At 46.5% G+C, this 14,476-nt stretch overlaps 1 annotated feature.

Annotated features, from left to right (window-relative positions):
- Positions 1,278-1,816: an enhancer, noted in NCBI's record as "NANOG-H3K4me1 hESC enhancer chr14:94306216-94306754 (GRCh37/hg19 assembly coordinates)". NCBI's record gives its function as "activates a minimal SCP1, AML or CMV promoter by ChIP-STARR-seq in naive H9 embryonic stem cells {active_cell/tissue: H9 hESC(naive)}" and the evidence as "EXISTENCE:reporter gene assay evidence [ECO:0000049][PMID:30033119]".

Here is a 14,476-nt window from a genome sequence, read left to right as displayed (position 1 = left end):
GGTGAGAGGGAGGGGAGACAGGGTCTTACTCTGTCACTCAGGCTGGAGTGCAGTGGCGCCATCATGGCTCACTGTAGCCTCAGGTGATCCTCCCATCTCAGCCTCCTGAGTAGCTGGGATTACAGGCACACGCCACGATGCCTGGCTAATTTTTGTATTTTTGTCGAGATGGGGTTTTGCTATGTTGCCCACGCTGGTCTGAAGCTCCTGGTCTCAAGCAATCCTCCTGCCTTGGCCTCCCAAAGTGCTGGGATTTCAGACATGAGCCACTGTGCCTGGCCTTCTTCAATTCTTATAAGGACACTAGTCATATTGGATTAAGGTTCTATGCTACTCTAGTACAACCTCATCTTAAGTAATTATGTCTGCAGTGACTCTAATTCCAAATAAGTTCACATTCTGAAGCTTTAGAGGTTAGAACTTCAACATATCCATTTGGGGGACACAAACCCAAAACTTACTCACATTGTCAGGCTTTTAGGGTATTTTGGTTGACATTTTTGCTATTAATAAATTAGGTCACATTTTTTTTTAACACATCCATGATTGTTTTCTTAAAATAAGTTCCTAGAAGTAGAATTTCTAGATACAGACTGTATCATCAGCCAGAATTTGGCCAGGAAAAGGAAAATCAGAGGTCTTTTCAAAGAGAGAGGATTTAATATACGGAATTGACTGTGCAGGTGTTGAGAAGATGCAAAGTAGGCTGGGTGTCGTGGCTCACACCTGTAATCCCAGAACTCTGGGAGGCCAAAGCAGGCGAATTGCTTGAGTACAGGAGTTTGAGACCAGCCTGGGCAACATAGTGAAACCCAGTCTCTACTAAAAATAATAATAATTTAAAACAAAATTAGTCAGGTGTGGTGGCGCTTGCCTGTAGTCCCAGCTACTCAGGAGGCGAGAGGATCACCTGAGCCTGGGAAGCCGAGGCTGCAGTGAGCCAAGATCACATCACTACACTCCAGCCTGGGTGAGAGACAGAGAGAGAGAAGAGACAAGATAGAAAGCAAAAGATGAAGAGGTAACCCAGAGATTAATAATTGCAAGAAGGAGCTGCCATTCCCAGGTTTGGGGGAAAAAAGAAAAAAAGACATGGAGCGTCCAGAACTTAGGCATGTGAAGGAGGAGGCTCCCTAAGGCTCATGCTCAGACCTTCAGGGCAGGACACTGCAAGATCTGTGCTTGGAACTCTCAGGGGGCGCCTGCGGCCACGCTCAGACATCTGAGAGGAGGGCACTGACCTCTGAGGCAGCACCACATGCCTGGTGCTTGGGGTGCAGGTGGCATGGCTGCTGCTGGAGGGATGCAGACCTCAGTCAGAAATCAAAACAGAGTCCCTTCTCCCCTCCTCTCACCATTCAATCTCCACCATTGCCTCCCATTAGCAAACTGGAAGCCAGCAAGGTATCTGGAAAATGAAGTTTGCAGACTTCTAGCCCCTGCATTACCGAACAGAAATGGTGTGGGCAGGAGGTATGAAGATGAGAGGCAACAAATAAACAACTGTCCTGAAGGCTTTTGATATGCATTCTTCCATTGTCTTCCAGAAAGGCTCGATCAACTTACACTGACACCAGCAGGCCATGGAAATGCCAGTTCCTAAATCTCAATAACACTGAAGGTTATGATTTTAAATTTTGTTTTCAGTTTGACAGGAAAAAATTATACTTTGATTTGCTTTGCATTTCTTTGATTTTTAGTGATGTTGGATACGTTTCCTATGTTTTTGGCCACTATATTTATTACTTGTTTTGTAAATTGTTGAAATACAAAACTAAAATAATTAAAGTGTCAGATTGTATGTCCTTTGACCATTTTTATTACACTATTTGCCTTTTTCTTCTCAATTCATAACACTATGCATGAAGGATATTAATCCTTGTTCTACAATACATGCTGCAAATAATATTTTCTCATAGTGGTTTGACATTTAGTTTTATTTACAGTGTTTCTGATGTCAGGTGGCTCAATTTATATGTGGTCAAATCGATTACTCTTTTCTTCTATGCATTTGCCTTTGATTTTATACTTAGAAAGCTCTTCCCCAGGCCAAGATTACGTAAATATTTATATGTTCTTTATTCTTTATGTTTTTTACATTTTCAACACAAAGGTTTTTTTTTACATCGTAATCTTTATGTGGAATTTGTTTGGGTATATAGCATAAAGTTAGAAATAATGGAATAATCCATTTTTCATCTATAATTTGTGTTTATTTATTTATTTATTGAGACAGAGTTTCGCTCCTGTTGACCTGGCCAGAGTGCAATGGCACATTCTCGGCTCACTGCAACCTCCACCTTCCAGGTTCAAGCGATTCCCCTGTCTCAGCTTCCCAAGTAGCTGGGATTATAGGCATGCACCACCATGCCCAGCTAATTTCATATTTTAGTAGAGATGGGGTTTTGCCATGTTGGCCAGGCTGGTTTCGAACCCCTGACCTCAGGTGATCCACCTGCCTCGGCCTCCCAAAGTGCTGAGATTACAGGCGTGAGCTACCATGCCCTGCTTTCATCTATAATTTGTGATGCCACCTCTATCCTCTATTAAACTGATATGGATAGATAGATGCATAGATAGATAGATAGATAGATAGATAGATAGATAGATAGATATGGATATATGTGTGTGTGTGTCTATTTCTCCAGTATCTCTTTTATTCCATTAGTCTGTATGATCATTGCATTTTATTACATTCTCACAAAAATGTAAACTCCATGAAAGTTGCCTTGGTTCTACTAGTGCCTAGAATGGTGTCCGGCACATAGCAAGTACTCGAGAAATACACATTATTGCTTGAGTGGACTATTCCTGTACCAGATCATTTCTGGTTTTGCTTTTTTAAAATTCACTTTTATCAAGGTATAATTTACACACAGCAAAACTCTCCTGCCTTAGTGGCCAGGTCGAATTTGACAAACACATACAGTTGGAAAACCACCATAACCAAGATATAGAATAGTTCTGTCACCACAAAAACACTCTGTCATGTCTTTGTTTTCAATTAATTTTTTTTATTTTAAACTGTGATTTTTAAAAAACACACACCATTAAATATGCCACCTTTTTGATTTTCAAACATACAGTTCCGTAGTGTTGAGAATATTCACAGTGTTGTGCAACAGATCTCCAGAACCTTCTATCTTGCAGACCTGAAACTCTATGTCATTAAACCACTCCCTTTTTCCCCCTCACCCCAGCTCCCTGGAAACTATCATTTTACTTTCTGTTTCTATGAATTTGACTACTTTAGATACCTCATGTAAATGAGATTTATCTTTTGTGACTAATTTCCCTTAGCATAATGTCCTCGAGGCTCACGCATGTTGTCACATGTGACAGAATTCCCTTCCTTTTACAGCTGAATAATATTCCACTGTGTCTATCAAGTTCTTTGATAGCTGACTCCTACCCCTAGGTCCTGAAGTTTTTTCTGTCTCTATAGTTTTACCTTCCAGAATGTTATATAAATGAAATCCTACAGTATGTTTATGGTATATAGGCTTTTGAGTCAGGCTTGTTTTTCTCGGCATAATGCATCTGAGGTTCACCCACGCTGTTGTGAGTACCACTATTTCATACTTTTTCATCATTGAGTAATATTTCATTATATGACTCTATCACAGTTTGTTTATTCAGTTCTCAGATGAAAATAAATTTGAGTTGCTCTCAATTTTAATTATTGCAGCTTCATAATGCTTTTTTTTTTAATTTTTGAGACCGAATCTCACTCTGTCACCCAGGCTGGAGTACAGCAGTGCGATCTTGGCCCACTCCAACCTCTGTCTCCCAGGTTCAAGCGATTCTCCTGCCTCTGTCTCCCACGTAGCTGGGATTATAAGCACACGCCACCATGCTCGGCTAATTTTTATATTTTTCATAGAGACAGGGTTTCTTCATGTTGGCCAGGCTGGTATTGAACTCCTGACCTCAAGTGATCCACCCGCCTTGGTCTCCCAAGGTGCTGGGATTACAGGCATGAGCCACTGCGCCCAGCCCCATAATACATTTTTTATAGTGAAACCATCTAGTAAGCTGCCAAATGTATACCAGTTGTAGCCATCACTAGAGGAGAGTATCCCTAGAATATGGAGATAAGATTTCCTTCTGGGAGTAAGAATGAGAGGAAACAACTTCTAACAGATTCAGGAGCTTGAGTGATGTTGGAGGACTTGCGGGAAACAGCCAGGTCCTGCCAATAAAACCAGACACAGCAGACTCACAGGCAGCGTGGTGGGCCAGGGCACAGGGCATTAAGGGTGTAGGCTCTGGAGATGAGGAGCTCTGGGTATTGCTCTTCCCTCTGACATTTCCTTGCTGAGTGATTGGGGCAACCTATTGACCTGCTGGAAGCCTTGGCTTCTCACCTGTAAAATGGGGAACAGGAGCGCATGCAATGGCCTGAATGTTTGTGTCCCCTAGACATTCCTATGTAAATCTTCACCCCATAAGGTGACGGTATTAGGAGGTGGGACCTTTGGCAGGTGATTAAGTCATAGAGGTGGAGCCCCTGTGAATGATATTTGTGCCCTTATGAAAGGGACCCTGGAGAACTGCCTTGCTCCTGCTGCCATGTGAGGACACCGTAAGAAGGCACTGTCTACGAACCCAAAAGTGGGACCCTCACCCGACATCAAATCTACTGGCACATTGATCTTGGACTTCTTCAGCCTTCAGCCTGTGAGAAACAAACTTTTGTTGTTTACAAGCCACCCAGTTTAAGTTATTTTCTTATAGGAGCTTGAATGGACTAAGACATAGCACATTCCTCACGTGAAGTAGTTAGTGCAGTCACTAGGCCAAAGTAACTGTCTGATAATTGATACTTTTTTTTTTATTAACTATCATCTTGAAAGGTAGGCTGGGTCTTGAAAAGGAAATTCACATAGGAACAAGTCCAGCTGTGTTTCTTCTGAAGAAAGTGTGCAAATGATGCAGGTAATTGCAGAGGTTTTGAAACATGGCTGCAAATTCCTTGACATTCTTCCCTTCAAGAGATGGGCCTGATATGGTTTGGCTGTGTCTGCACCCAAAATCTCATCTTGAATTGTAATCCAAATTGTAATCCCCACATGTTGTGGGGGGGACCTTATGTGAGGTGATTAGATCATGGGGGCAGTTCCCCCATGCTGTTCTAATGATAGTGAGTGAGCTCTTAGGAGATCTGATGGTTTTATAAGGGACTTTTCCCTGCTTCACTCTTTCACTCTGCACTTCTCTCTCCTGCCACCATGTGAAGAAGGACATGATTGCTTCCCCTTCTGCCACGATTGTAAGTTCCCTGAAGCCTCCCCTGCCATGCAGGACTGTGAGTCAATTAAACCTCTTTTCTTTATAAATTACCCAGTCTCAGGTATTTCTTCATAGCAGCATGAGAACAGACTAATACAGGGTGCATGTTCTCTCACCTGGAATCTGGGTGGACTTGCCATGGCTTTAATCCCATCCAGTAGGGCAGAAGTGACATCATGTAATTTTGGAGGCTGGCTCAGAGAAGGCCATGCATCTTTCACTGTTTGCTCTGGGACCCCTGAGCCATCATTATTTGCCAAAATACCCTGAAGCCCGAAGTCACAGTGCTGGTGAGGCCATGTGGTGATACCACATGGAGGCCCTGAGACCTGTAGAAAGAGAGAGAGATCCCAATAGGTGTCCCAGCCCAGGCACAAGATGCATGAGTGAAGAAGCTTCCAGATGATTCTAGATCACAGCCATTTGAGTCAGCCCCACCCTTTGGGTCTTCCTACATGAGGCCCCAGACATCATGGAGACAAACCATCTCCTCTGTGCCCTAATTCCTGATCCACAGAATTTGTGCATGCAACAATGATGGGTATTTTGCGTCACTAAGTTTTGGGTTATTTTGCTATATAGCAACTGATAACCAGAATGGAGTTCTAGAAGGAATCTACAGAAGAAGAAAAAAAGGAAACCAAGGTAGTGAGATTTATCAGTGTTCCTCCAGCAGCTGGCAAAAGCCACCCACCCACCCACTACAGGGCCCTCAGGCACACAACCTCATGCATGGGGATTGGGAGAATTCACCAGGCTTTTTTGCAGCCTCAGTGAAATAATTCCCAAGAATGAGTAACTTTGCTCCCTCTGTTTTTGTGCCTAGTGAAAACCAATGGATGACTTAAACATGATGGCCAGGAATATTCTAGGTCCTGGAGAAAGTAGATCAGTTCCATAAACCAATAACCCCACTTTCCGGTTTGTACATCAGTCTCTTGGGACTTTGATATGTGTGAATTAGCCCCAAGCTTCTGGACCACCTTACCAGTACAGTGGAAGGATCATGGGCTGAATCTCAGCTCAGGGTCTAAATCTCAGCCCTGCTGCTTAATGACTATGTGATGTTGGGCAAGGTGCTTGACCTCTGTCTCAGTTTCCTTGTCTGTAAAACGAAGTCAGGAATGTCTTCTTCATACAGTCGTTATGGAGGTGAAATGAGATGCCACCTGGAAAGGGCTAGCACAGTGTGTGACTCATCATAAACTCACTGCTGATGTGATCCTTCATTTCTCTCCCCACCTCCAGCAAAGCTGCAGAGTAGTTTCTGGACCACAGTGACATCCCCTCCCAAGTCTTCCCAACACTGTCTCCCCCTCCTCCAGGCATTAGCCCTCAGAGAGCCCAGTGTGTTCCTCTGGGATCCCCCACCCCGGGCCACAGTAATGCCGGCACACACAGAGGTTTTTGGCATGGCTGGCACCAGACTGGCTTCCTCTATGGACCTGCTCCTGCCCCTGCAGGCTCTGACTGGAGAGGTTGAGAGGAAATCAACCGGGAGCCGACTGGGGCTGCATGACCGGGATGACAGCCTACAGACCCTGAAGGCAAATAGCCCTGTCCCATCAATTTGCAGGAGTGGAGAGAAGAGAGGAGCTTGGGAAATTACAGCCCCATCAGGCTGCCATCATCTCCTGCAGCTCATGAAAGTGATCAACAGCGCTTCGGCTCTCATTTTAAAGATTAAACAGAAGGAAGGATGACTCCAACGGATTGCAGCCCGAGCCACTGGTGGCCCTGAATGCCAGAAAACAAGACAGATTGGGTGTCCACGACACAGAAAGGAAACATGAATCTCCATATTTCACTGGAAGAAGCCAGAGTCACGCTCAAGGAGGCACGTGGTCCTTTTGTCTCCCAGCCTCAGGTTGGAAGCCTGCGCTCCCTTGCGGGGTCCAAGTCCAGGCTCTGGATCAGTTTCAGGACAGCAGGGACCAAATGTGTTTTGTTCAACACATATCAGGCACTCAGTAAATATGAATGAATGAATGAATTCTTGTTCTGTCCTTCTAGCTATGCGATTTTGGGCAAGTCACCATAGACAAGTCAAATGGCCTGTCAGAGCCTCAGTTTCCCCATCTGTTAAATGGGACTAGGGATATCTACCACCCTATGGTTATTGTGAAGATGAAATGGCATCGTATGAGGAAAGCATAGTAGCTGGTGTATATTACAAGGCACCCAGGTAAGGAAGAGGCCAGGTGGGAGACTCAGGTCATAAGCCTAAAGCCAGAGGGGTAGGATAAGAAACAGAAGTCCAGGCAGGGCAGGGGGCTGGCTGCATGGCACAGAGTGCTGAGATGTTTGGGACAAAGATGGCTCTACTCTGGCTCACCATTTTCACTCTCTGCGCCCCCTCTCTTATCCGCATCCCGTCTGCCTTGTAGGGAACGTGCAGAAGGCTGTGGCGTGTGCTTAGTGCGTTCTTCACCTCAGTGGCATAGGAATGGTATTCAAGAAGGAAATCGCTTTGTCAGGAATGGTTCTGAAAGTGTCCCGGAGGAAGTGGCATTTGTACAGGCCTGTGACAGACAGACAGGGCATGGCTGGTGGGACAGGAAGCCAGGCATGTGTGTGGGAATGGGACACCTTACCTGAAAGCTCCAAAAGACAAGGCTGAGGACTTCACAATCACCAGCACAATGGGGAATTATGGCAGCCTCCGGGGCAGAACAGTGATCCCTGGAAATAATTCCTTAGCTTTGTTACACAATTGGCATTTCAATTCCTCCACAAAAAGGGATCAGCAGTTCCACGCTAGTTCCTGGAGCAGAAAGGAGGGAAATAGCAGGGACAGGACTGGAAGAACCCCGCCCCTGAGTCACAAGCCCCAGCTCTCCTCTCTAAGGGCACCAGAAGCCCCAGGAGAGTCACTGCACTGCTTCGAGCCTCAACCTCCTTGTCTGCTTCCTGAGATAGCTGTGAGAAGACCCAATGTGGCAACACCGGGTGGGCCCTGCACAGGCCCCCATGGCAGCAGAAGCAAGCAAGTCTGCATCTGGGTTAAAACAGAGCCATGGGCAACCTGGTGGGATAAGTTATTTTGAAAGAAGGAAGAAGGGGCTGGCAAGGCCTGGAAATTCAGGCTGCTGGATAGGGATGTCCTCAGCAGGCTTTGAGGAGCTTTCTGGGAGTGATGTCTCCTGAAAGTTACTGACCGTGGGCAAGACATTATATTATTCTTTGCCCCAGGATTCTTCTCCTGTCCTTTCCTAAGTTCCCCCAAAGTTCCAAGGGAGCTGTTGGCTGAAAGAGAGTGGAGGAGGGCTTCTTCTTTCAGCTGAGGATGAACTGGTGGTTGGTTTGGATGTTCCCTGGGCAAGAGCTGTCCAATTACAGATCCCATCTGGGCATGGGATTCCTGAAGATGCCCCCCTCCTCAAGGCCAACATGTCATCAGAACCATAAAGTCTTCCTGTTTCCTCAGAGACAACAAACAGAGAGATGGGTGTGGGGTCCAAGCCTTAGCAGCACGATCTGGGGTTTGTGTCAAAATGAAATCCAGATCCACAAGGCACACGCTGCAGCCTGGCAGTTCCTGGCCTTGGCGGGTGTCCAATATCCCCAGAGCTCCTGGCACTGACTCCCTTTCTGCTGAAATAGGCTGGGTCTTGGCAGAACAAGGAAGGTGTATGAGCCTAGCATCCACCTGTCAAACCTCAACTCAGGAGTTATTAAGCCAGCAGGTCCTGTGGCAGCCAGGCAAGATTTGCTTAAAAAAAACAATGAGAAAAAAATCGAACTTATCACTTGAGGCTTTTCACTTAACCCCCCTGCAACAGCTCCCCAGCTGCTGTTTCCTCCTCTTCCAGGCTGGCTCCTGCCCACCCTCACCTTGATGCCAGATGGGTCTTTCCAAACTGCAGCTGTGGTCAAGTCATTTCTCAGTTCAAAAAGTCTGCTGTGGCTCCCCAGTACCTAAAGAAGTACCTGCATACTCCCCACCCGTGCATTCCAGGCCTCCCTCCCTCCCTCAAGATCAATCTCAAATGCTGCCTCCTCCAGGAAGCCTCTCCTGGTTTTCTTGGAGCCATTTGGAACTACTCCCCTTCCCAACCCCTATCAGTCTTCACTTGTTCCAGAGCCCAACCCAAGGCCTAGGGTGTGAGGGCCATCTGGAGCAGGGCACAGAGCCAAGGAAGACACAAGGAAAAGGAAGTCCCTCCCCATGAAGAGCTGATGGCTTCTCCAGGAACCTGCCCACCCTTCAAACACACACAGATACACACTCTGACATCTGGGAAATAAGGAATACAGTCACGGTGACAATTACCTCACTAAACCCAAGAGGCCAGGGACACCAAATACCGGGCAGCTGGTGTCTGTGCGAGGGGATGGCGGGGGTGACAGGAGGGGTGATGGGCATAGCCAGGGGTTAGGGATATCCCAGCCTGACAAATTTAAATCAAACTGTAGATTTTTTTTTTTTTTTTTTGAGATGGAGTGTCACTCTGTCAACCAGGCTGGAGTGCAGTGGCGCAATCTCGGCTCACTGCAACCTCTGCCTCCCAGGTTCAAGTGATTCTCCTGCGTCAGCCTCCCGAGTAGCTGGGATCACAGGCACATGCCACCATGCCTGGCTAATTTTTGTATTTTTAGTAGAGACGGGGTTTCACCATGCTGGCCAGGATGGTCTTGAACTCCTGACCTCAGGTGATCCGTCCACCTTAGCCTCTCAAAGTCCTGGGATTATAGGTGTGATCCACCGTGCCTGGCCAAAACTACAGAATATTAAAACTAAAGAAGATCTTGGACCATTCAGTCAAATCCTATACACACAAAGAAAGTGAGGCTCAGAGAGGGGCGTCCGGCATAGATTTCCAGTTAGAGGGCAAAGGGGTCATCATTTAATTCATTCGGTCATTTGGTCATTTGTTCTTTCAACCATTCCACCACTTTACTAAGCCCCTGTTAGACCCTGGTGCTCGTGCCAGACTCTGGGCACATAGAGTTGAAGAAGAAACAGCCCTGGCACCCACGGGGCTGAGAGTGGATGAGGGTGACAGTGCCAGACTGGAGGTCAGCCTGCAATGGGTGGAGGCAGAGAAGGGAGTGATGCTGGGGGTGGCTACATGGGTGGACAAGAGGTGATCCTGGAAGGCTTCCCAGTGGAGGTGATGTCTGGGACGTGTGTAAGGAATGTATAGGAGTTTCTGCAGGGTCAAAGCAAAATTAGCAGTGGAACCTGTGCATATGGACTTGTCCCTACTCTACACTACAGGATTTTTACATCTCAATGCTGCCTGAAAGCAATTGGAAGAAAGGGTCCCTGTCACCCTGGCCTGGTTCATCCCTGTTGAGCCACAAGCCTGAGGCCGTATAAAGTATTGTGTTGATTACAGGATTAGAAAGGCCCAGTGTGACTTGGAAAAAGGCTGTTTTGCCAGTCAGAGTGAGACTGACTGGCAACCCTGGGGCAGATCTTGCATTTACTAACCAGCTTCACACTGTAAGGCTTGACTGCAAGTGGAAATGACTTTAGGGCTCACTGAGTCATTTTACAGATGAGGAAACTCCAGCCCATGCAGGCAGAGCCCCTTGCCCAAGGCCACACAGCAGGTCAATGGCAGAGTTGGAACTTAAAGCAGGTTTCTCAACTCTCAGGCCAGCATGCAGGGGGGTGGGGAATATTGTAGTTAAAGAAAATGGTCAAGTTTATTCGCTACAGAAGTCCCAAGGGAATCAACATCTTCATAAAACACAGAGAAACAAACAATAAAGAGCAAGAACATGATTTAAAACTGTATAGTCAAGAATGGATATAGATGTTAAGTGCTGAGTCAAGACAATTTGTGAAGCTTCAATCTGTAAACCCCTTCATGAATTTCAGTAGATTCCCCTTCCCCCAGGAAGATTTCTCTGATGCCCCTCCAGCTGGATCAGTGTCTCCAGTGAGCAACCCTGGGACCATGTATCATGTGTCCTCCTCTATAATTAAATTTGGTAGACTGTACTGTAATTCTCTGTCTCTTGAACCTCTTTTCCACAAGATTGTAGTAAGCTCCTCGAAGGCAGGAATGGTGTCTCATTTATTGCTATGCTCCCATTTACCCAGCATATAGCAGATGCTCAACAAACATCTGTTAAGTTAATATCTGCACACTTAAAAAAGTGACGTTTCTTCCTGAAGACCAGAACAAAGAAAAACAGAACCTGTACTCTTTCATGAATTGAATCTCCATCTATCCATCCTTTTATCCCTCCCTTCCTCCATCTATCCATCCATCATCTTTCTCTCCTTCCTTTTGTCCCTCCTTTCCTCCCTCACTCCACACCTCCTTCTTTCCATCCATCCATCCATCCATCCATCCATCTATCCATCCATCCACCATCCATCCATCCATCCATTCATCCATCCATCCATCTATCCATCCATCCACCATCCATCCATCTATCCATCCATCCATCCATCTATCCATCCATCCATCCATCCATCATCCTTCATCATCCATCCGTCATGCATCCAACATTTGTTGAGCAACATGAGAGGCTGACCCCTGAGTTTAGAAGGGGAATGAAGCCCGTTCTCTGAAGTGGAAAGCTCTGTTTGCAGGAGCTTGCCCGTAAAAACCATCACCAGTGTTTTGTAGAAGACAGCAGAGTAATTTAGAGATGTGACTTAATCAATATTTCGTGGTCCCTGAAATCCATCTTTGTTAAATGACCAACAAAAGACTGTGGCCAGGGAAGCCCACTGACAGGCCAAGGGGAGAAATTCAAGGGGACATTGGTGGGGAATAAACCCACCTGCTGGGCGGGGCTGTGGGACCACCAGGAACCTTTCTGTTATTACTGATTACTGCACTGACAATGAAGGCAGTGTCCCTCACTCCCAAAGCTGCACACAGGAACGACAAGGCTCAGGTACTGGCATGACAAATCTTCCCTGTGGGAGGCATTGGTACAGGCTCAACCCTGACCTGCCTGCCACATGGACTATCCCTGCTGATGACCCCCGTCCCCCTGGAAAACTTGACTGAGGTGGCAGTAATGTTAATAGCCGGCTATTCTTTGCAGCAGCACACGCCTTCACAGCCTTTTCTCCTTTGAGCCCTTTGAGGATCCCCAGAAGGAGTTATTCTTCTTCTTCCCTTTTCCCAGATCAGCAAACAGCGGTTCAGGAAGGTGAGCTGACTTGACCAAAGTGATAAAGTTTGCAACTGTCAGCAGGAGGGCAAATCACAGTTCCTGACTGATCAACTCCTTGATCAGGCCTTTTGGGGCTGTGACTCAGAATCAGGATATAATAAAATCCAAAATGGCACCTTCCAGTTTAGCTCCGGAGTGAACACAACTCAGTGTTGGCCCAGAAGTTAGGAGCAATGTCAAGACTTAGAACTGAGCCCTAGCCAGAGGTTTCAGCACCCAAGCTAGGGATGGGGGTGTGGATGCCCTCTGAACCAGGACCTGCCTTGCTCATGTGCATACACCAAGGCAAACAGGGTCCTTCTTAGTCACAGCCCTGGATCATCCATTTCAAAGCGAAAAGGAATTTGTGAGGGCTGCCAGCTGTCATTTTTGTAATGAAATTTGCTTTCAAAGCCCAAGGCCATGCTAATGACAAAGTAAAACAAACTCAGAAGGAGTAAGAGGGGTAGGCTCAGGCGAGTGGGCAGGGAATTGCCAAGAAAACTCACGTGGGGCTGAGCACCATAGTTGTGACTGTGATGCTTACACATATGCACACATATGATGCACATGCACGCGCACACACACACACACACACACACACACACACACTCCTAACAGACAACCTGGTGGCAGGGAAAGGGATTCCAGTGCTCAGTTCAAGAGACCTGGAATCTCATTCCAGCTCTGCCCCGGCTGCATTGAGTGGCCTAATATCTCCATGCCTCAGTTTCCTCATCTATAAAACAGGATGGTAATAGCACTTATCTTTTGGGTTGTTAGACCAGTGCATGGCCACATCGAGTGCCATATGAGTGTAAATTAAAATAACGTAATTAATCCCCTGAGTGGCGTTAGTGGTTAACTACGGGCCTGTTGTGATGGTTAATACTGAGTGTCAACTTGATTGGATTGAAGGATGCAAAGCATTGATCCTGGGTGTGTCTGTGAGGGTGTTGCCAAAGGAGATTAACATTTGAGTCAGTGGGCTGGGAAAGGCAGACCCACCCTTAGTCTGGGTGGGCACAATCTAATCAGCTGCCAGCTCGGCTAGAATATAAAGCAGGCAGAAAAACGTGAAAAGATTAGACTGGCCTAGCCTCCCAGGCTACATCTTTCTCCCATGCTGGATGCTTCCTGCCCTCGAACATCGGACTCCAAGTCCTTCAGTTTTGGGACTCAGACTGGCTCTCCTTGCTCCTCAGCTTGCAGACGGCCTATTGTGGGACCTTGCAATCATGTGAGTTAATGCTTAATAAACTCCCCTTTATATATATATCTCTCTATCCTATTAGTTCTGTCCATCTAGAGAACCCCGACTAATGCACCTGTCTTCCTGGCCCCCTTTTTTTCTGGAAACTTCCTCCTTGCTCCCTTCTGTGTGGTTGCAATGGACTGCAGCCATGGAGGCAGTCTACATTGACAGCTAAGAGTGTGAGCTCTGAAGTCAGGCTGCTCAGCCTCAAATTCTAGCTTTACATCTCTGGATTAGTAACTTAACCTGCCCAAGCCTCAGTTTCCTCATCTGTAAAATGGGGAGGAGAATTTTACCTGCTTGTTGGAGGATGCAACTGACAAAATGCCTGTGTCTAGCACATAGTAAGAGCTTGATGATGAATGTATCTGCTAAAATTATATTTTCATTCCAAGTAACTTATTGCCTCTGGCCATGGTTGACTGGGCCTGGGGGGGGGCACTTGAATGAAGCTGAGCCAATCAGCTTCTTCCTTAGGAATTTGTAGTTGATACTGAAAAGGAGTTATTTTGCCTCGCGTTGGTGGCTAGCCCCGTGAAACGTGAGCATGGTGCTGTGGCTGCCAGCTTCCCACCATGTATATGGAGCCTAATAAGCTGGTCTTCAAGGGACATGCAGATAAAGGACTTCAGTTCCTAGTCTCAAACTCTTGGGCTCAACTGGTCTGCCTGCCTCAGCCTCCTAAGTACCTGGGATTACAGGCATGTGCTACAGCACCTGGTTTTATGTCATTTTTTTTCTCCACACTTCCAAAGAGTGTGGAGTCCCCACCTCTTCCCCAGTCAAGTGTGGTTGCCCTGA

The sequence above is a fragment of the Homo sapiens genome, chromosome 14 (assembly GCF_000001405.40).
Source record: "Homo sapiens chromosome 14, GRCh38.p14 Primary Assembly".
Lineage (NCBI taxonomy): Eukaryota > Metazoa > Chordata > Mammalia > Primates > Hominidae > Homo > Homo sapiens.
Note: the sequence above shows the minus strand (reverse complement) of the source record. Positions and strands in the feature narration are given on the sequence as shown.